This window comes from Homo sapiens, chromosome 4, assembly GCF_000001405.40.
Source record: "Homo sapiens chromosome 4, GRCh38.p14 Primary Assembly".
Classification (NCBI taxonomy): Eukaryota; Metazoa; Chordata; class Mammalia; order Primates; family Hominidae; genus Homo; species Homo sapiens.
Genome location: NC_000004.12, coordinates 38,869,145 through 38,892,810, shown reverse-complemented (window position 1 = coordinate 38,892,810; position 23,666 = coordinate 38,869,145). Strand labels below are relative to the sequence as shown.

The 23,666-nt window shown below is 41.9% G+C and overlaps 1 protein-coding gene across 10 annotated transcripts in view, besides 2 other annotated features; it reads right to left on the bottom strand.

The window, feature by feature from the left end:
• Positions 1–23,666, bottom strand: part of FAM114A1 (family with sequence similarity 114 member A1) — a 77,934-nt gene that overhangs the window by 52,929 nt on the left and 1,339 nt on the right. For 5 of the 10 annotated variants that reach the window (NM_138389.4, NM_001375792.1, NM_001375793.1 and 2 more), the window contains 2 exons: positions 14,385–14,740; positions 981–1,068 (listed from right to left, as the gene is read on the bottom strand). In NM_138389.4, coding sequence (NP_612398.2) covers positions 981–1,068; positions 14,385–14,732 — 436 coding nt within the window. In that variant the 5' untranslated portion in view covers positions 14,733–14,740. The remainder of the gene's footprint in view (positions 1–980; positions 1,069–14,384; positions 14,741–23,666) is intronic. The other 5 variants (NR_033290.2, NM_001330764.2, NM_001350634.2 and 2 more) reach the window with 2 other exon arrangements.
• Positions 1,699–1,868: an enhancer, noted in NCBI's record as "experimental_80049 CRE fragment used in MPRA reporter constructs". NCBI's record gives its function as "activates a minimal promoter by MPRAs in K562 erythroleukemia cells, with activity observed for the introgressed 4:38892649 variant allele {active_cell/tissue: K562}" and the evidence as "EXISTENCE:reporter gene assay evidence [ECO:0000049][PMID:34662402]".
• Positions 7,928–8,097: an enhancer, noted in NCBI's record as "experimental_80048 CRE fragment used in MPRA reporter constructs". NCBI's record gives its function as "activates a minimal promoter by MPRAs in K562 erythroleukemia cells, with activity observed for the non-introgressed 4:38886420 variant allele {active_cell/tissue: K562}" and the evidence as "EXISTENCE:reporter gene assay evidence [ECO:0000049][PMID:34662402]".

Sequence of the window (23,666 nt, the reverse complement as noted above, 5' to 3'; positions counted from 1 at the left end):
GAAGACCTTCCTGGTTTTAGGAGTAACAGTGAAGTGGACCAATTCATGGCCTATCGCAAGGTCCTCATGGCCATGGACTGCACCTTAGAATACCTGAAGTGGATGATGTGAAAACTCTGTTACCTGTGGCTTCCCCTATCTTCTTATCTTCCACCTTCAAGATGAAATGCCTTTGCTAAATTATCTTAGACATATTGATGTTATACCTTCAGTTCTCATGAAGAGAGAATATAAGAAATGGTAACATGAAGAATATCATGACAAATTTGCACTCAGGAAGACACTACACTGTCCATCATATTTTCTCTTTGTATAAGAACAAATACAGGAAATTTCTTTAAAAATTTAAAACCAGAAAAATATATTTATTTAAATTAAAATTTTGTTTTCAAAGAGAAATAAATAATGTACTGGCAGCCAAGAAGCTCAGAGTTGAGGTCAATACTCAATTACAAAAACTCTATTAGCCATGGGATGTATAAAATATGTATCCTCCCTACCAGCACATTGTTTTCTCCTTATATTGTAATATCCTGCTAATGAAATGCCTTTTATCAAGATATCTCAAATCCTTTTTGGGAGTAGATGCGTTGTGCACTAAAAAAATTCAAGTGGGACGATAAACACGAAGCTTTAAGAATATATTATACTTTAAAAGACCATATAATATAGTGGCTAAAAGCCATACTACTTGGCTTTTAAATTGCAACCCAGACATTCCTGACTTTGGTCAAGGTCTTAGTCTCTCTCTGATTAGCTTCCTTACCTGTAAAGTGCAGCAAACAACAGTTCCTCCATATAGGGTTATTTTGAGGAACAAATGTATTGGAGGAATAAATGAAGCACTTAGAATAGTAAGCACTAAACATGGTTTGCTCACGGGCTAATGTTAAACTCTATTAGTATACAGTACGATCAAAACGTCCTATCCTATTAGGCTTTGGTACTTTGTCTATTCCAATGCAACATACAATGCTTACCTACTGTGGCAGATGCTGACGACAGCAGAGATTTGCCCCAGGATCCCCAGCCTGCCCATCCTCCTCCACTTGGAGGGGAATCCACAGCCTGGAGAAAAACAAATTAGCCACAGGTCAGAAATTCAGTATATCTCTGAATGGAAAAACACCTATTGGTTTGAAACAAAGAGGAGGTTTGGAAAAGAATCACCAACAACCGTATCTAATTGGCTTATAGTTTATAAGGGTCATAAAAGAATATCCCAAACCACACTGCAATGTGTACTTTGGAACCAAATTGATTAGTGCTGATGTTGGCTTCTGAAGGCTTGGTTTGAAGTGAGAAGGGAGTTTGATGTTAACTGAGCCTCGATTCTCTCTTATTATTTAGAAGACAGGGAAAAGGCTGCATGGGAAAAAGATACGCATGAGGGCACAAGAGGGATTTGAAAAAGTTCAAAATGATCTGGACCCAGGCAATTCTTACAGGGCTTAAAAAATGTGCTCTTCAAGGTAGAGTTAACTTTTAAACTCTGGGGCAGTAGGCAGGTGCTTTGGCATGGATGATGGGCAAAGTGTCTAAAAAGCGTCAATACACCTGGCGATGGATGGGCAGTAGTGACAGGAAGGCTTGCAAGGTAGAAACCTTTGATTCAAGGTGCCCTGCTTCACTCATAGTGACTCCTATAACACAGGGATAAGACTGTCCCTGACCTCAGTGGATTCCAATTCGTTTGCCTAGGTTTTTGGAATTGGAACTGAGAGACTGTGGTTCAGTGTGAACTGTGTGCATGAACAGAAGTTGAAAACTCAGGCTATGTGGATGACCCTGTTATATCCACCACGCAGACTAAGAATTAAGAGAAGGCAGAGTGAGCAGAATGGAGACTGGCTTAGAGCTGCTGTTTGGATTCCTGACAGCTTCTCAGTCCCTGGTTTCTGTCCCTCTGAAGGCCCTGCTGCTTTCTGATCTTTGGGTTCTATGAGATTCTCTCATATTCTTGTTCATTTTTTTAAATGTTTTATTCACTGATATACTCTCAGAGCTTAGAAGAGTGCTTGGAATATAATGAATGCTTAATAAATATTTGTTGAATAAATGGCTGAAACTCATCCATTTTCTCAGGTATGCGTGTTTCTGTTACTTGCAACCAATGAGTCCTAACTCAAGTAGGGAACCACAGCTTTCTCTTTCTATCTGGGAACACATTCTAGAAAACAAGGCAAGAATAAATATTCTATGAGTTACCTGTATGGAGAATCATAGCTCTTTTTTACTCAAAAGAGAAGAAGGAAGGAAGGAAAGAAGGAAGGGCGGGCAGAAAGAAAGTAAGGAGGCAGTGGAAAATTCCTACAGAGTTTGTAGATTCCATAACTTTTGACTCACAGCTGGTCCATTAGTCATCCCCAACTCCCAACTCCCTTGCTGTTTTTTTTTGTTTTTTTTTTTGAGACGGAGTCTTGCTCTGTCACCAGGCTGGAGTGCAGTGGTGCGATCTCAGCTCACTGCAAGCTCCACCTCCCGGGTTCACGCCATTCTCCTGCCTCAGCCTCCCAAGTAGCTGAGACTACAGTTGCGCACCACCACGCCTGGCTGATTTTTTCTATTTTAGTAGAGACGAGGTTTCACCATTTTGGCCAGGATGGTCTTGATCTCTTGACCTCATGATCCGCCCCCTTGGCCTCCCAAAGTGCTAGGAATACAGGTGTGAGCCACCATGCCCAGCCTCCCTTGTTATTTTCTACCCTTGCAGATAAGGATGGCCATATGAAACAGTTTTCAACCAATGAGATATATAAATGGAAAAGTTTTTGCTTTCATGATACATTATAGTTACAGCGAGTGCCCACTCTTTCCCCTTCTCTTTTTTCTGCCCTGAATGTGGACCTGAAGCTTCAAATTGAAGCAGTCATTTTTGCTGCCTCAAGGGAAAGGCCAAGGAGTCTCAGTCACTGGTCCTGGCTCCGCTGAGCTACTAAACCAACATAAGTAGCTGCCTATCTCCATTCTTTGTATTAAGTGAGAGAAAAAAAATCACTATTTTGTGAACTACTATATGTTGGATTTTAGTTACTTTGACTCAAAAGCATTCCTAACTGATTCAAATGCCACCCATCAGTGTAGAGTACTGGTTGAGACTGAGTTATGGAAGTTAAATTGCTTGGGTTTGACTCCAGGCTCTACTGTTTTGGACAACAAGTTACTCAAATTGTTTTAAGCCTTCATTTCCTCATTATAAAATGCAAACAATAGTGGCATAAGAGCCATAAGTATAGGAACCAATAACCTCACCGGTTCGTGAAGATCAAAAGAAATAATTCATATAATGTTGCGAGCATAGTGCCTGGCATATAAGAAGTACTCCAAAAGTGTGAGCTAGAAATAATAAGAAGAAACTATGCTTTTAAGACTAAGAAGCAAAAAGCTTTGAAAGTTAGCTGTCATTTTTTTTTTCTTTCTGTCTGGAAACAATGAGAAGCTTGTTAACATGAATGGAAATATTCATGACTCATCACTGCCTGCTTTCATTTTTGGTGTCTACATTGATTTACTTCACTTCAGCAATGGAATCCAGTAGCAATTTTACACCATTATGAAGACAGATGGAAATCAGTGATTAATATCATTCTTTCACAGGACAAATCACTACCTATGATTAGGAAGAGTTAATACAATTAGAGGTGACAGCTTCTGACTCAAATTTATAATATTTATTATGTTCTGACAGCTGGTAATTGACTAGCAAATGGAAATAAATGTTAAATGAGTCTAGAACTTTTTGCTGTATAATAAGTGACTACTTCAATTGCTTTATTAATAAAGTCCTTTGACATTGAGCTGTGACTTCTTGATCAGCTATAAATATGTTATCAAATGGTAAATATTCAAATGATTAAATACACATATTTAATATAAAAAATGTTAAGCATGAATTATAAATATATCTCATCATGAATATGGTCTCCACTTTAAATGGACTTAATGTCACACAATTAGGAGATGCTACAACAGGCAGCATGGAGCTGCTCAGATTGCCTATTACCAATAGAGGGATTTAAAGACGTTTTTCTCACCCTTCCCCCATAACTCCCACCTCCTTCCATAGACAACTTCACATCCTAATACATAGAGGAAAAAAAGCCATCAGATGAGAACTCTCTCAGCTTCCTGCCTGCTCCCCATAACTCTTATAACAGCAAATTAGATTTGGCTTAATCAAAAGGGATATTCAAAACTCAACTGGAAATCATTTAAACATCTAAACCTTTGTGTGGTACTAAGAAAGAATGTAGGATTCCATCAAGTTCACAGTTCTTTTTTCTTTTTAGGAGACAGAGTCTCGCTCTGTTGCCCAAGCTGGAGTGTGTGGTATGATAATAGCTCACTACATCCTCCAACTCCTGGGCTTAAGTGATCTTCCTGCCTCAGCCTCCCAAGTAGCTGAGATTACAGGCATGCACCACCACACTTAGGTAATTTTTAAAAATTATTTTTTGTAGAGACAGGATCTCACTATGTTGCCCAGGCTGGTCTTGATCTCATGGCCTCAAGTGATCCTTCTATCTTGGTCTCTCGAAGTGCTAGGATTACGGGTGACTGCACCTGGCCCAAGTTCAACGTTCTTTAAATAGGAAAGACATTTTCATATCTAGTATCCCATTTAAAGGTCTTTATCATTAAATAGAAAATGCATTTATTTTAAGCTATCAAGTTTAAAGGTATTATTAGATAGAAAAAAGTAAAATCCCAGAACTCCATCAAATTCAAAGGCCTTTATCATTTAGATGGAAAACATATGTACTTATCTTAAAGCTGAAGGAGCAACTTGGTTCTTCTATTTCCTTGAGCAGATCAAGAATCAGGTGCTGCGTATAACTTGTATCCAGGGATGTGGGCAATGAAACCTGTGAGTTTTGTAACTCATAGGGTGATCAACACTTTTTAATTTTTGTAACTCATGACATAGCTACGCTAAAAAGGGGGTCAGTATGACAGCTGGGAGGATGAAAATTGCTCTGGAGTCTGAAACTCTTGTCAAAATATCTGATTGAAAATGGCCTCAGTTATTTCCAGCTAATTTTCTTCCTTGGTAAGTATGCATCATTCAACTTTGGGAAGATTTAAAAATTAAACATAGAAAGGTTGAAAGCATGGAAGATACGCTATTCATATTTTTGGGCATATTTGTTCTTTTCTGTACTACTAATGTTGAAGGAATCTGACCTATTAGAGTGACAGTTTTTGAAAATCAATCAAAAATGAATAATTGAATTATTAGACTTCTGATTTTAAGCTGAAATCATCCCAAGTTTCCGCACATTATTAAGAGTCTTTAAGTCAACTCTGTAAATTTATTTTAGTAGCTTTATAACAATTATTAAGTACTTAGCAAGGTTTTGTATAAGTAGATAATTCAGGTACTTTAAAAGGAAGTAGAATATATTATAAATGCAGTTTAAAGTATTTAAACGTGTGTAACTTGGTAAAAAGGACCAAATCAAACATTAACCAAAAGTACCTTGAAAGTGACTGTTTGATTTTGCTGGACTTCTAAACAGTGAGATTTGTGAGATTCACGTGAAGCCTAAGGATTGGGTTTTTCAGTTTGTCATCTTCATAGATGGAACACGAATTGTTTAAACCCAATTAAACATTTGAGTAGTTCTTTTTATGCACAAAATATACACAGGCCTACACCAAAAACCCATCTAAACACAAATTAAGTACACTACCCTGCGATTCACAATTACTTCCTCCCTCTCATTATTATGGAAATGCACCTTCCTCTTAGGTACCATAGCACCTCCACCTACACATCTCCCGATCTGGTTAGGTTGGTTTTACTCTCTCCTAGCTTTTCGGCCTTTTTCTATGCAAGCTGCTTCCCTGTACAGGCTACATTCCTTTTTTTTTTTTTTTTTTGAGACGGAGTCTCGCTCTGTCTCCCAGGCTGGAGTGCAGTGGTGTGATTTTGGTTCACTGCAGCCTCCACCTCCTGGGCTCAAGCGATTCTCCTGCCTCAGCCTTCTGAGTAGCTGGGATTACAGGCACCCACCACCATGCCCGGCTAATTTTTGTATTTTTAGTGGAGACAGGGTTTCACCTTGTTGGCCAGGCTGGTCTTGAACTCCTGACCTCAGGTGATCTGCCCGCCTCGGCCTCCCAAAGTGCTGGAATTACAGGTGTGAGCCACTGTGCCCGGCCCAGGCTACATTTCTATACATGCTTTCTATATAGGTTACATTTAATCATGCACATGATTCCTCTATCTTAAAGCCAACAAATGAAAATCACGACATGAACAAAATGTGTCTTTCAAACTTATCTGGTGTCTGCTCCACATCTTTCTTCTTTGTCTCTTAAAAAAGGTGCTTATAGTGGCCGGGCACCATAGCTCACACCTGTAAACCCAGCACTTTGGGAGGCCAAGGTGGGCAAATCACCTGAGGTCAGGAGTTTGAGACCAGCCTGGCCAAAAAGGTGAAACCCCGTCTCTACTAAAAATACAAAAATTAGCCGGGTGTGGTGGCGCATGCTGTAATCCCGGCTACTCGGGAGGCTGAGGCAGGAGAATCGCTTAAACCCAGGAGGCGGAGGTTGCAGTGAGCTGAGATCGTGCCACTGCACTCCAGCCTGGGAGGCAGAGTGAGACTCTGTCTCAAAAAAAAAAAAAAAAAGGTGCTTATCTTCTGTATTCACCTCCCTTGTCCATCCTCCCTCCACAGCAAGACTCCTGTGCCACTACTTCATGAAATCGTTCTCATCAAGGTCAAGTGGCTTCCTGTTGTCAAAGCCACGGACTCATTTTAGTCTTTTTATTACTTACTTGACCTCTCGGTAGCATCCAAAGCTCACCCACTTTTACATCTGCCTTAGAGTGTTCTATTCTGATGGCCTATCTTCTGACTCTCACTTTTTTTCCTTTTTACCATCTTTTAGTATGATTTCAGTTATTTACATTAGAATGCTTCTACATGCATATTGTGACATTATGGGTGCTTCTCAAATTAACCTACAATCCAAGTGCTGTCAGCATTCCAATAAAATATGCACAGTCCAGGGTGGTCAGCCAGCATTCTAATCAGGAAAGCCATACTCTGGAGGCAGCTATTTATAGAGGTTCTATTATCTGTATCTGGTAACATCTGATGCTTTACCAATTACCACACCTAACTGCAAAAATGGGTTTTAATTGGTACACATGGTGGACTATTTACTAGCATTCTCAATATCTGAAAGGGGTTCTAGATGGTAAAAATAAAGGTATTCAAGGAGCTGGCTTCGGTGGCACACTCCTATAATCTCAGCACTTTGGGAGGCCGAGGCAGGAGGATCACTTGAGGCCAGGAGTTCAAGACCAGCCTGGGCAACATGGCAAGATCTGGTCTCTACAGAAAAATTAAAAAATTAGCCAGGCGTGGTGGCATGCACATGTAGTCCTATCTATTTGGTAAGGTGAAGCAAGAGGATCACTTGAATGCAAGAGTTCAAGACTGCAGTGAGCTATGATCTTGCTACTTCACTCCAGCCTGGGCAACAGAGAGAGAGAGAGACTATTTTTTTAAAACAGGACGGGGCCGGGCTTTGTGGCTCATGTCTGTAATTCCAGCACTTTGGGAGGTCGTGATGGGTGGATCACCTGAGGTCAGGAGTTCAAGACCAGCCTGGCTAACATGGTGAAACCTGGTCTCTACTTAAAATACAAAAATTAGCTTGGCATGGTGGCAGATGCCGGTAGTCCCAGCTACTCTGGAGGCTGAGGCAAGAGAATCACTTGAATCTGGGAGGCAGAGGTTGCAGTGAGCCGAGATCATGCCACTGCACTCCAGCCTGGCGATAGAGGGAGACCCTATCTCAAATAAATAAATAAATATAAATAAAAATTTTTAAAAGTATTCAAGATGTGTAAATAGTTAAGTATATTTTCTGCTCCTCCCAGTTTTATATGAATAGGGTGTTACAAAGGATTTTGCCCTGTGTAAATGGTCTTCCATCCATCTTTCAACTCTGGGGAATTCTGGTGACTTGATGCCAGCTATCAGGGAAGAAACCTTAGCTCTGAAATCCAGACAGTTGCCTTGAGTAAACCTTTCATTCAAGATGGTGATCAAAGCACCTAAACAATGGGATGTTCTCAAGCCTACATGAGAAAGAGTTCTCATACACCATTTTCAACTCTCTTGTTAATTACCGTTTCATTTAAAAATGTCAGTGTGGTACAATGTGATCTGAAACTTGATTTCGCTTATAGAATGTGGTAGTGGTGAGATTGTACTATAAATTCTTTGCTAGCTACCATAATCTATTTAAAAAGCAAAACAAAACCCTAAGAGCTGTGCCCAACCAAACTGGCTTAGAGACAGAAACCTTCCAGGGCTGAGGGCTTGGCCTCTGTTGTTATTTATATGTTAACACCTGAGCCATCTTACCCACTTCCATTACTGAAATAACCACATAGGTGCTGATAGCCTCTGAATCACCTATCTCTCCAGACCATTTTAACCAACTGTCCACAAAGTATCTTCACTTGGATGTTGCATGGCATATTTAATACTGAACTCAGGCCGGTGCGGTGGCTTGCGCCTATAATCCCAGCACTTTGGGAGGCTGAGGTGAGAGAAGAGCTTGAGTCTAGGAGTTTCAGACCTGCCTGGGCAACACAGGGAGACCCCGTCTCTACCAAAAACCAAAAACCAACTGAACTCACCATCTTCTCAATTATTCCCCGTACCCCAACTAGCTCTTGCTGTGTCCTAGTGTTAGTGGTTCCCAAACTCTAGTCCACAGACTGACTGTAAGAGTGTCACCTGGGGGAATTCATTAAAAATAGAGTCTCAGCTTCCACTATGATCTTGTGCCTAAGAATCTCTTAGGGTAGAGCCCAGGAATCTGAATTTTTAACAGGCTCCCCACATGATTCCAATACACCTCCAGATCTGGGAAGCACTGCTCTCTATGGCAGAATGGCACCTCCATCCACCTGGTTGTCCAAGCCAAAACTGGGTGTCACCGTTCAGGGAACACAGAATAAGGAACGTAGGCAGTAGGGAACTCTGTCCTTTTAGAGCAGGCCAAAAAGGGAAAATACTCAAACAGAACCGGAGAAAACTCTGCTCATCCGGTTTAGGAGGCTAAATGCTGTCATGTCTCAGCCTGTGTCCCCTACTCCTTGTCTCTCTTGACCATAACTTTATGGCATTTAAACATTCTGCTTCTCCTTTTTTAGGGAGAGAACTATCCATGGTGGTCCACACTCCCATGTTTTCCCATGAGAGTACTCAACAGTGTTAACATTGGGATTCTTGACCTTCTCCATAATCGGCCTTATGCGTTGGTGTTGAGCAGTAGGGATGACATTTTAAAAATTCTGGGTAACCTTTCTTGGTGTTAAGAATTCAGAGAAATTTAATCTAGATTGGGTCTTTTAAGGGTTGACTGGCTAGTATATAATAAGGTCCCATAAGAGCTCTGGGAACAAATGTTACTCCCAACCAGTACTCAAGACAAACATCTTTGAATTGAGGCTGAAGACTTCTCTGATTCTTTAAGACGAATTTAAATGCTCTGTCTAAAGCCTCCCTTGTGCCTGTCCTATCTAGTACTAGAGGACATGTAATCATTGCTCTCATACAACAATGTTTCCCCCAACTAGACTGTAGGCATCCTGAAGATAGTTACACCACCCAGATTTCTGGGCATAATGCATTGTGTCATGATGCTGGCAGAGGCCTTAGAGAATCCGGTCCAACCTCCAATGCTGAGGACCATTTCTCACGGAGGTTGTAGAGTGGGTTCCTACAGGAGAAGGCTCAATTCAATGGCTTCTGAGTCTGTATGTCAGAAAGGACAAGAAAGCAAAGAAGCCCTAAAGATAGAGATAGTTTATCCGAGTGCATAAATGGTGTGGTCCTTAAAAACAGAGGTGCCAGCCAGAAAGGTGGCCTCCTCCTTGACTCTGGCCACCTGCTAGTCGCAACACCCCATCTGCCAAGTTATGGTGGCCTTGCTGCCTGAGGCAAATGTGAGCCTAATGATGTGGATTTTAAGGGGATCCAGATCCAGGTACTTACAAATATATATGCATACACATACACACCACACACACATTTATGCGCATTATCACAAAATCTAATGTGCCTTAGAAGTACGTCCTCAAAGTCTATTCTGCCCGTTTTCTTTTTTTAGTAAAGCAAGCATTCCTCACAGAAACTTTTTTTTTTGAGATGGAGTTTCACTCTTGTTGCCCAGGCTGGAGTGCAATGGTGCAATCTCGGCTCACCGCAACCTCCGCCTCCCGGGTTCAAGTGATTCTCCTGCCTCAGCCTCTCGAGTAGCTGGGATTACAGGCATGCACTACCATGCCCAGCTAATTTTGTATTTTTAGCAGAGACGGGGTTTCTCCATATTGGTCAGGCTGGTCTCGAACTCCTGACCTCAGGTGATCCGGTCCCCTCGGCCTCCCAAAGTGCTGGGATTACAGGTGTGAGCCACTGCACCTGGTCAGAAACTTTTTTTTTTTTTTTTTTTTTTTGAGACGGAGTCTCGCTCTGTCGCCCAGGCCGGACTGCGGACTGCAGTGGTGCAATCTCGGCTCACTGCAAGCTCCGCTTCCCGGGTTCACGCCATTCTCCTGCCTCAGCCTCCCGAGTAGCTGGGACTACAGGCGCCCACCACCGCGCCCGGCTAATTTTTTGTATTTTTAGTAGAGACGGGGTTTCACCTTGTTAGCCAGGATGGTCTCGATCTCCTGACCTCATGATCCACCCGCCTCGGCCTCCCAAAGTGCTGGGATTACAGGCGTGAGCCACCGCGCCCGGCCCTGGTCAGAAACTTTTTTAAAGGGCTGATGAGAATTTATCAGGTGTAGATGTACATGGGGTCAAATAGGCTTTTGCACTTGGCTATTTTCCTGCAGAACCTGCCATTCCTCAGGGGCAGCCTGTGTTCAATCCAAACAACCACCTTGTAATGAACTTTAGATTCAAGAATTTGTTTTGTACAATTCACTCTGCTCTGGAGCAACAGGGAAAGAGTTGTTTTCATCAGTGCAAAATGATTTCTTATGAGTATGCAACAAGAGGCAAATAAAATAGAAAAAAATGAACAATAATCAAAGACTAGGCATAAAATTGACTTCTAATAAAAGGATAAGCTACTAAGAGAGACAGTAGAATCCCCTTTCCTGGTAATCTTTAAAAAGAGACTAAATTTGCACCTACGTAGAATGGTTTAAATAAGACCTGGGTGAAAGTGATATCCTCTCTTCCAGGCCCTTTCAGCCAACCTATCGGCTTTCCTGCCCTTCTTAAAACAAACTCACAGGTACTGTCCCCACTCCTTTGTTCCCTCTGAGCTTCTGACCCAACACAATACATCCAGAGCCACGGGCCCGACTCTGTGGCCAGTGTTTGCACTTCCATCCAGGTAATTCCGTGGTGCTCTATTATTAGGAATTTCTCCCCTTTCCAAGGTCCTTGAAATGCTGTCAGTGTTGTAGGGGGTGGGGAAGGTGGAGTACCTGTTACCAACCAGCTCAATTTCTGTAGCATTCAGGAGGTTTATAAGGTGTTTTCAAAGCAAGATTCATTCCATTTGACCAAAACATTTAAGGCAAATGTGGTAGAAGCATACTGATTTTTTTTTTTTTTGAGACAGAGTCTCGCTGTCACCCAGGCTGGAGTGCAGTGGCTCAATCTCAGCTCACTGCCTCAATCTCAGCTCACTGCAACCTTCACCTCCCAGGTTCAAGAGATTCTCCTGCCTCAGCCTCCCAAGCAGCTGGGACTACAGGCATGCACCACCACACCTGGCTAATTTTTGTGTTTTTAGTAGAGACGGGGTTTCACCATGTTGGCCAGGCTGGTCTCGAACTCCTGACCTCAAGTGATCCACCTGCCTCGTCCTCCCCAAGTGCTGGGATTACAGGCATGAGCCACCGTGCCCGGCCTTACTATGCTATCTTCATGAACAGTCCTGTTATAATTATTATGTCTGAAATTGGAATGTATATGGATTTTGAATTAGTATGGATTTTGAATTAGTAGAGCTTGTATAGTTTAAGTCATCTTAGGTGATAATGGTGTGGCTAAGTTATATTTTTCTTACTGTACCAAGATATTTGTTAACAGTAGCACTTAGGATGAAAATTGGGAACCATAGCTCCCTACATGAGACAGACAGTGTGGAGGCAAAGCAGGCTCTGGAGTCAGGAAGACTCTGTTCAAATCCTCACTCTGCCATTTCCTATTTGGGCTGATTCTTGACATAATCTAGTGGTCCATCTCTTCACCAATACCATGCAAACTGCCAAACCTGCGGCTTATTAATGTCCCACTTTTACTTCCTATGTGTTTTGTGGCTGTTATTGCTATTGTTGTTGTTCTAAGATCAATGGATGAAAAAGTGTCCTAGTAGCCAAAAGAATGAAAGGGCTTGTCTCCAGATACTTTTGAAGTGTTATTGTAGCACCACAGCATTTTAGAGCTGGAATGATACTGAAGACCACTTACTCAAAGAATCATAAAAAGGACTTTGAAAATTCTTTAGCCTAAACTAATTATTCTCAATCCTGGCCAAACATTACAACCACTTGGGGTACTTTTAAAAATTGCTGATGTCCAAGCCCCATTCCTGAATCAGAATCCTTGGGCTTGGGACCCTAGCATCAATATTTTCTATTCTATTCTATTCTATTCTATTCTATTCTATTCTATTCTATTCTATTCTATTCTATTCTATTCTACTCTATTTTATTTTATTTTATTTTATTTTATTTATTTTTTTGAGACAGAGTTTCACTGTCATTGCCCAGGCTGGAGTGCAATGGTGCAATCTCGGCTCACTGCAGCCTTGACCACCTGGGTTCAGGTGATCCTCCTGCCTCTTCCTAAGTAGCAGGGACTACAGGTGCATACTACCATGCCTGGCTAATTTTTTGTATTTTTCGTAGAGACAGGGTTCGCCACATTGCCCAGGCTTCAATACATTTTAAATCTCCCCCAGTGGTTGGTAACATTCAGCTGAAGTTGAGAACTTCTGGTCTAGGGGCCCTTAATTATTTAGGGCATCTATGGATGGCTTCAAAGGGTCAGCGACCTCTTGAAACTCATAAACAAAATTTTGTGTTATGTTTACCCTATCTGATTCAAACTCCCAGCTGGTCCTCAAATTGCTTCCATAACATCCCTACAAAATGACTGTTCAGCTTTTGTTTAAACACTTCCAGTGAAGGGAAACACCTTGCCCCTGAGGAAGCCCATCGCAGACAGTTCTGAGGGTCAAACCCCTTGAGAAAAGTGGGTGGGAGGGTAGCCCAATCTTGAATACAGGAGTCATAAAACATTAGTCAGAAGGATGCATCAAAGTCTTCATGTGAGAATTCTTCACTTCATAGAGGAAAAACCTGAAGCGCAGAGACATTAGTTTGTCTGGCCCAAGCTCATGGAGTTAATGATAGATTGGAGGGTGAATGCCCAGGGCCCCTAGTTCCCTGTTTAGTTCCTGTCCCTCACATCATGCTGCAGAGTCACCTCAAGGGGGTGATCTGTGGTGGCACACTTCAGGATGAACAGGGCTGGGCCTGGCTGAGGGAAGACCCCAATTCCTCCCTCCTGCACCACCCTTCTAGAAGGCAGTCCATTCCAGACAGGATGAGGAGAGCAGCCTGTCTCCTTCTTTAATGCGGGGCGTCTCCCACCCCTGCCCGGCCCCACATGGCTGGAGGTGAAAGCTCCAGGAAAACCCTGCTGGGATAGTCTTCTTGGTGGCCCAGGTGCCAACAGGGAGATCTGGCTTATCTCATACCCTGAGAGATAGGTGCAGGCACTGAAAGGGGAGGGGTGATGAGTGCATTCTGCCTCTGTTCCCCTGGAAGGTGATGTGTGATGATAAAACAGTGATCTGAAGGCTGAAGATCTCCACTATGGACTTGTAAATATACATCAGATTTTAAGTGATCTTAAAGAAACATTGACTTGTTTAGGGTGGAATCAGGCTTGTTAATTATCTGGAGTCATGATGTGTGATATTACAATGTTTTCCATTTACAACCAAGTAGCCCAGGACAAGCTACCACCTCTGAGCCTGGTTGCCACAGGTATAAGCTGGAGTTAGTAATACCCAGGTTTGAACTGTTGATGGAGTGAATTACATAACATAGAAAGTGGCTAGCAGAGTGCCTGGCACACGGCTTGTGTCTGATAATTGGTGGCTGTTACTGTTAATAATACACTTATCAAAATGCAAATATTATGACAAATTATTTTTATATATGTCTAATCTCACTACACATTTCTGATGACAGAGGGGATGTCACAGTACATTTTGAACTCCCAATTCCCACCCACAGAGCTTGGTGCTAGCTCTGCACACGGTAGATATAAGCAAGAACTTAGGCCGAAGTGAATTGAATGACCCATTCTTACCAGATAATTCTGTTCTTGCAGGGGTATTTCGGATCTGGGTTCTGCCTCAAGGCTGACGGAATCAATACATTCAGCAAGTGTATCCTCAGTCACGTCTCCATTGAGAGGGGGCTCCAGGGCGTTGGCATCCTGAGGCTGCACAGGGGGCCCAATGGCGGCAGCCCCTGCACCCTGCACAGCTGCATTTTCATGCCCCTCCCCTCTGGGGTCAGCTGGTGTTGGCTCATGTGAAACTGCAGCTGAATCACAATGCACTTCTGCATCCTCAGGTAAAGAATCACTATTAGGCATCTCAGTAACTTCTGCTTTGTCTCCAGTGGCTAAGGTGTCACCAGCATCATCAGACATTTTAGTATCTGTCAACACAATTATAAACACCTCATGCTTTCATCGAATTGTTAAGCTTCAATTCAAAGCCCTGGATAAATAAATCTGGTAGGGGAAAACTTTTTTTTTTTTTTTGAGACGGAGTTTCGCTCTTGTTGCCTAGGCTGGAGTGCAATGGCATGATCTCAGCTCACTGCAACCTCCGCCTCCCAGGTTCAAGCGATTCTCCTGCCTCAGCCTCCCGAGTAGCTGGGATTACAGGCATGTGCCACGACGCCTGGCTTATTTTGTGTTTTTAGTAGAAACGGGGTTTTTCCATGTTGGTCAGGCTGGTCTCGAACTCCCGACCTCAGGTGATCCACCCACCTTGGCCTCCCGAAGTGCTGGGATTACAGGCGTGAGCCACCGCGCCCGGCCAGGGCAAACTTTTTTTTAACCAATACTCTATGTAACCTTGTGGGTCCCCAACCCTGCATTATTCCTTGTACCAGTCCATGGCCTGTTAGGAACCAAGCTGCACAGCAGTGGGTGAGTGGCAGGTGAGTGAGCACAGCTTCCTCTGTATTTACAGCTGCTCCCCATCGCTCGCATTACCACCTGAACTCCGCCTCCTATCAGATCAGTGGTGGCATTAGATTCTCATAGGAGCATGAACCCTATTGTGAACTGCACGTGTGAGGGATCTAGGCTGTGCACTCCTTATGAGAATCTAATGCCTGATGATCTGTCTCCCATCATCCCCAGGTGGGAGCATCTAGTTGCAGGGAAACAAGCTCAGGGCTCCCACTGATTCTACCTTGTGGTGAGTTGTATAATTATTTCATTATAAATTACAACGTAATAATAATAGAAATAAAGTGCACAATAGTAATGTGCTTGAATCATCCCAAAAGCATCTCCCCCGCACCCCTTTCTGCTGATCTGTGGGAAAATTGTCTTCCACAAAACTAGTTCCTGGTGCCAAAAAGGTTGGGGACTGCTGGAATAATGAATGGCCCCCAAGATAACCACATCCCAATTCCTGGAACCTGTGAGTGTTACCTTACATAACAAAAGGGACCTTGCAGATGTGAGTAAGATAAGGATCTTGAGATGAGGGGATTATTTTAGATCATCTGAGTTGGCCTTAAATGTAATCACAAGTGTCCTTATCATATGGAGGCAGAGGGAGATTTGATTACAAAGAGGAAAAGGTGATGTGATGACAGAAGCAGAGGCTGGAGTGACGCACTTCAAAGATAAAGGAAGGGGCCCAAAGCCAAGGAATATGGGTGGCCACCAGAAGCTGAAAAGGGAAAAGAAACCACTCTCCCCTCAAAGACTCTAGAAGGAATCAGGCTGCCAGCAACTTGACTTTAGCCCATGGACACTGATTTCAGACTTCTGACCTCCAGAACTCCAAGAGAATAAGTCTGTGTTGGCAAAAGCCGTGAAGTTAGTTGTAATTTGTCACAGCACTGATAGGAAGCTAACAGAAACCTACAGGGCTATCTTTAAACTTTCCTGGAGCTCTTACTTGGCATGAAAGACTACGCCTATGGGAACTAAGAGTAATACCTGTATCTTTAAAATTATTGACTCTGGCTTTATTAATTATATTTGTAGCAATAATGAGAATAAGCATAGGAAGGCAGGGTGCAATGGCTCACACCTGTAATCCCAGCACTTTGGTAGGCTGAGGTGGGTGAATCACATGAGGCCAGGAGTTCAAGACCAGCCAAGGCCAACATGGTGAAACCCTGTCTCTACTAAAAATACAAAAATTAGCTGGGCATGGTGGCATGCACCTGTAGTCCCAGCTACTTAGGAGGCTGAGGCACAATAATTGCTTGAACCTGGGGGGTGGAGGTTGCAGTGAGCTGAGATCGTGTCACTGCACTCCAGCCTGGGCGACAAAGCGAGACCGTCTCAAAAAAAAAAAAAAAAAAAAGAAAAAAGAATAAGTCTAGAAAATACCTGAGCACTTATCAAAAAAAATACTTGCCATTTAGCTTTGTAACATCTTTGTCAGAAATTCACAGTGAGAAAGAGACCTATACACACACAGTATTCCTTGTTGGGGACCAGCTGATGAAGGTCTAGACCATGGTTTAGTCAAGGATAAACTTAAAGGGTAAGAAGTGAGGTAGAAACCAAATAAGGAATGTAGCCATTAAAGCAGAAAACTCTTTTAAAGCTTACAAATTATTGATATCATGTAGAACAGCACTATTCAATGGAACTTTCGGTGGTGATAAAAATGTTCTGTCTCAACAAACTAAGCATTGAAGGAACATATCTCAAAGTAATAAGAGCCTTTTATGACAAACCCACAGCTAACATCATACCGAAGGGGCAAAAACTGGAAGCATTCCCCTTAGGAACCAGAACAAGACGAGGATACCCACTCTTACTACTTCTATTCAACACAATAGTGGAAGTCCTAGCCAGAGCAATCAGACAAGAGAACGAAATAAAATAGGAAGAGAGGAAGACAAACTATCTTTGCAGATGATATGATTCTACACCTAGAAAATCCCATAGTCTCTGCCCAAAGGCTCCTAGATCTGATAAACAACTTCAGCAAAGTTTCAAGATACAAAATCAATGTACAAAAATCAGTAGCATTTCTATACACCAATAATGTCCAAGCTGACGGTGAAATCAAGAATGCAATTCCATTCACAATAGCCACAAAAAGAACAAAATACGTAGGAATACAGCTAATCAGGGAGATGAAAGAGCTCCACAATGAGAATTACAAAACAATGCTCAAAGAAATCAGAGATGACACAAATGGAAAAATTTTCCATGCTCATGGATAGGAAGAATCATTATTGTTAAAATGGCCATACTACCCAAAGCAATGTACAGATTCAATGCTATTCTTATCAAACTACCAATGATGTTTTTCATAGAATTAGAAAAAAATATTCTAAAATTCATGTGGAACCAAAAAAGGGCCCAAATAGACAAAGCATTCCTAAGCAAAAAGAACAAAGCTGGAGACATCACACTACCCAACTTCAAACTATACTACAAGGTTATAGTAACCAAAACACCATGGTACTGGCACAAAAATAAAACACATAAGCCAACAGAACAGAATAGAGAACTCTGAAATAAAGCCACACACCTAAACCATCTGATCTTTGACAAAGCCAACAATGACAAACAATGGGGAACGGACTCCCTATTCAATAAATTGTGCTGGGATAACTGGCCAGCCATATGCAGAAGATTGAAACTGTTCCCCTTCCTTATACCATATACAAAAATAAACTCAAGATGGACTAAAGACTTAAATGTAAAACCCAAAACTATAAAAACTCTAGAAGAAAACCTAGGAACATAGGAAACACTATCCTGGATATCGGCCCTGGCAAAGATTTCATGACAAAGACTCCAAAAGCAATTGCAGCAAAAACAAAAATTGACAAGTGGGAGCTAATTAAACAAAAGAGCTTCTACACAGCAAAAGAAACTACCAACAGAATAAATAGACAACTTACATAATGGCAGAAAATATTTGCAACTATGCATGTGACAAAGGTCTAATATCCAGAATCTGTAAGGAACTTAAATCAACAAGCAAAAAACAAAACAAAAACCATTAAAAAATGGGCAAATGACATAAATAGGTACTTCTCAAAAGAAAACATATAGGTGGCCAACAAGCATATGAAAAAATGCACACCACCACTAATCATTAGAGAAATGCAAATAAAAACCATAATGAGACACCATCTCACACATAGATTTTCCCAATAACTCAGAGCTGTCATTTACCACGCTTTCACCCTCTCAAGAATATATAGTATCAACAGCTATCATTTATTGAGTGCTTACTGTATCCATGCTCTTTAAATGTATTATCTCCTGTGAGTTGAATGTTATCAGCTCCATTTTACAGACGAGGAAACTGAAGCTCAGAAGTCACACTTTTAGTAAATTCTACATTTGAAATTTGAACCCGTGTCTGACTTTGAGACTGAACCACATCAGAGCCCTATCAGCAATGCCATCTGCCTCTTTTCTTACATTCAGTCAGTGGCCAAATCCTAGAGGCTCTTTATTGAGAATCTATCTACATTCTTTTACTCCTATTCTCATGGCAAGGTCCTCATTATGGTTCATGATGACTATTTCAGTATTGGGTTCCCCTGTTCACTGCAGCTCTTCCCCTTACTTCCCATCCTTCACCTCACGGCTCTAATTACATGGCTCTCCTGCTCACACATCCTCAGGAGCTTCCCCTTCCTCTCCCTCCTGAGATGAGGCCACATGCTTCAGCTAGTATCCAGGGACCTCTGTGCTCTGATCCCACCAGGCTTACCTCCCACGATTTCCTATAAAACCTTAAATGAGACAGTGTAAATATCTGTGCAATGCCTGGCACATCCACAAGAGACCCTCGGGGGCTGTTAGTTCCATATGTTGTTCTTTTGCACATTGAAGACCCAGTTAAAATAACCGCCTCCTCCATTCTTTGTTCCTCCAGGTTGAACATTTTCCTTCTGAACCCTTCTGAGGGCATTTTGTGTTTATCTTACTTTAGACAGTTAAAGTCCTCTTTGATTAGAGTTGCTTCAGTTTTTCCTATGATTTGTAAATTCTATAAAGACAAAGACCTTCCTTGTTTTGTATTCATATTCTACATAGTACTTGGCATGGCTTCCTGTGCATAGTAGGAAGCTCAACAAATATGCCTGTTGAGTTAGATTAATATTTGTGTACAGACACTCAGGAGCTCTCTTACAGCAGATGGTTCCAAATGACTTGACATTTCCGTATTGTCTTTCTTTTTTCCTTCACCTCCCAGTTAATTGAGTTAGAATGTATTTGTGTAAGCAAAAATATCTGCCAGACCTTGAATTCAGTGATAATATTCCTGTAAACAAGTCTACATGTAAGAATGGCAACGAATGCAGACTTCCCTTGAGCTGGTATACAAAGTTTAGGATATTCAAGGTTGGCCGTGGGCTGTCAAGGAGCCAGGTTCAAGCCTAGCTGAAATAGTAAAGAACGATAGAAACCCACTGTATAGAGAAGGGGTAGTATTGTGGGTGGTTTATGGGAGGTGAGTAGAATTGATGGGGGCTGCTAAAAAGGCTGTTGTCATTTGGAAGTTTACAAAATCTTTGTGAAAACCTCTCTCTGAATCAGGACTAGCCTAGGACAGGGTGTTGGCAAACCAGTCTGCTGGCCAACTCTTGTCCTCTGCCTGTTTTGGTAAACACAGTTTTATTGGACCAGAGATACACCCTTTGTTTACATATGGGACCGTCATGGTTTCTCTGGCACTACAATAGCGGAGCTGAGTCATTGCAACACAGGCCATATGGGCTGCAAAGTCACAAAGCCTAAAATATTTACTATCTGGCCGGTTTCCGAAAATGTCTGCTTACCCATGGCCTAGGACTTTGCTTGATTGCCATGGCCTAAAGATTTCCCTGTCTTAATTTATTATCCTCACATGAGTCGTATGGACACAACAATGAGGAGAATGGGTTCATGAATAAATGATACCTTGCCATCACTTTTATTCTCATTTTTTTAAATCGGTAGATGGTAGACATTGTCTGATATTTTTATTTCTTTGTAAGGTAATTTGAAAATCCTTATTATTAATCTGGATTATTAGGAAGTCCCAAAATATTTCAGTTTTCTATAAGCAGGAACATCAGAGTAAATCTGGCTGTGATAAACACTTATGGGTAAATAAAAACCATTATGGATGCCTAAATGTACAAGCCTTGCCCTCATGTGTTGTTATCTTGTTCATGAAGTATCCTAAAATAGTTCAGCATATACTATGTGACACGTGCATGTTACTTAGTTTTAATTTGTGCCCTAAGGGTGGCTGGATGACATTTGAAGTGCCTTATTCAGGAATATACTATCCAGGGGTCTTTAGTAAGCACTTAAAAATCCGTAATGAGGTGACCACCTCTTTTTAGAGGGTTCATCTACCGTCTTCTCTGATGGGCACTCCAGGGTATGCTAATTAGCATAAGGGATATGAGAAATAATTTTTCACTGGTGACATGAAAGATGCCTCAGGTATGTGGATCGACAAGAAATAACGTACAGGTGCCTTCTCTGCTTCTATACCCAAGACATGAGATTGCACTGAATCCAGCAGCTGACTTACCCTTTGGAGTAGCGTTCTTCTAGGTTCTCTAGCTGAATGCAGGACTCCAAAGCCTGAAGGTGACTAGAAGCTTAGTTGAGTCCTGCCTCTAGAACACAGGCCTAAAAGGACAGTGAGCTAGGACTTCCTTGAGCTTATAAGAACAGACTGGTTAACTAAGCCTGTTTGCTAATACATGTGTGGGTTTATGGCAGAATTCCATCAGTGAACTTGGATTCATGGTAATTTAACTCTTGGTAGGGAAGTTGCAGAGGAGGAAACCTAGAGCCCTTACCTATCTCTGATGGCCAAATTACCTTAGGTCAGTTTATCCCAAATGTAGAAAAAGTACTGCAGTAAAACTCCTCTCTGTGGCTGTTCTGCATTCAACCAACACAAACCATCCCTTCAGAAATACCCCAGAAACTCAGCTGTAAGATGTTAAACAGGCATTGTTAAAACATATTTATGGACTATTGTCAAAAAATATTTATGGATTATTATTTAAAATATTTATAGATTATTGTTTAAAATATTTATGGATAATTTATAAATTTTATTAATACTAGATCTTTACATCTGTTAAATTTAAAAATGGTCATCGGTCAGGCATAGTGGCTCACATCCCAGCACTTTGGGAGGCCAAGGCAGACAGATCACTTGAGGCCAGGAGTTCCAGACCAGCCTGCCCAGCAGAGTGAAATCCTGTCTCTACTAAAAATACAAAAAAATTAGCTGGGCATGGTGGCATGTGCCTGTAATCCCAGCTACTCTGGAGGCTGAGGCATGAGAATTGCTTGAACCTGGAAGGCAGAGGCTACAGTGAGCCAGGATCATGCCACTGCACTCCAGCCTGGGTGACAGTGTGAGACCCTGTCGCAAAAAAAAAAAAAAAAAAAAAGAAAGAAAAAAAAGAAAGCCATGCAAGATCAGCTCTAATTCAATTTCTAATTGTGTGTATCTCTAATCCATATTTATCTCTACTTGTTACAGGTCTAATTTTCCCCAAATCAAAACGAAAAAAAATTATTTTTTGTTTGGTTGTTCTGGTAGAACTTTATCGACTGTGGATGCTATCATGATGGGGGAAATGTAATCATTTTTCAGACTATACCCTTTTGTATGAAACCACTAGAAACTGTGTGTTTGAAATACAGAACTGTTTCTGAGCAGGGGCTGCTGGAGTCCACCAGGATTACAGTCATGACAAGCACTGTGTTTCCTGGGACGGTTTCCATCTCCGTCTGGGTGTTCCATAAGCCAGACTTAGAAACCTTTCCTGATTTATGGTTAGGAACACTGATCACTGTAGCCATGTCTCGTGGACTGGAGGCTAGGGAGACTCAACCCACAGAAACAAGGAGGCTGCTTCAGGAAACTCTAAGGAGAGGAAGGGTGGCATATAAAGAAGCCTTTGTGGGCTGGGAATAAGTTAGTTTTTCGTGAGTAAATTCATTCATCACCTAAAATGCTCCCAGAACTATGCAAGGTATTTAAGCAGCAACATCACAGCTCCAAAAATAAGTATAAAACAGAAGACATGGTCACTATCCTTCAGAAATCAATCATCTGTTTGAGGAGCTAACACAAAACAGTTAAAAAGTGATGCAAAACAGCACAGCAAATCAAGGACAGATGTGCCTGAACTAGACTGACCCTGTGCAAGGGAGAATCTTGAAAGTGTCTTTGATGTGGTGATTCAGGCCTGGTGGGATGAGAGCATGTGCAAATGTCCAAGCATCAGCGATGGACTGTAGTGATTCAGGACAGGTGTCTGAGAGGCCAGGACATGAGGCTGCATGGAGGAATGATGAGAGGTGGGAGCGATGGTATTCTGAGGTGGAAAGAGTTGTGTCCTGCAGGCGTCAAGGGATGTGGCCTCTGGTCCCAGTATCCCTTTGTGGGCACACAACTTGATCCTCACTGTGCTTACACCTGCTCCTCTGTAAAGCTAGGATGGACAAACTGATCTGGATGCTTTTTTTTCCAAACTCCACCTGCAGGACTGGGGCAAGTCTGTGATGATAGAGAAAAATGAGGACAAGATTGCAAGTTTTTCATAAATCTAAATTTATTAAATGTAAAGGACTGCCTTCATCTTTCAAGTTTAGCCTTTGTGCTTTTTCTTGGTATTAAAATGTCTTTCATTTTATGAAATAGTGACAGTGGATGGATTTTTTTAAAAAAAATGGCCTGACTTGGCAGCATAAAAATTTGGTTAGCATGATATCCTGTGTGAGGTCATCTCCCCCAGTTAAAAAAAAAAAACAAAAACAGTGCCAGTCAGCGAAGGACCAGGAATAAAAACTCTGGATGAGAGGCTCTTAATCAGGTTGTAGCAGTTTGTATGAGTTTGTATAAAGCTTGACAAGTCTACGTACCCAGGCTCCAGCCTATTCTCTGTGAGGCTGCCAGGCATTTTTGGACCTATTTGCTCTCCTGTTCAAAAACCATTAGGTGTAAATATCTTCACACTTCCCATCATAATCCAGCTCCAATCTCTCTCCACCTCTTGCAACTCTCAGTATCCTCCACTCCTGCCTCACCAGTCTTTTCTCCATTCCCCATAACTCTTCACATCTCCCTGCCTTTGCTTACGCTGGTTCCTCTGCCCCGGTGCTGCCCTTCCTCCAGCTGCCTGGCAAACTCCTATTCCTCTAGACACCCAGTGTCTAATGTTACCTTTCATTCTGAATTTTTCCTTAATCTGCCCCACTGCTTCCAATGAAATAACTGCTACCTCTTCTATGTTTTTGGCACTTTGCACAGATTTCTATTCCATGTATTTATGGAGTATTTACTTCTGCCATTCTGTCCTCCAAGACTGTGACCAACAGCACCTA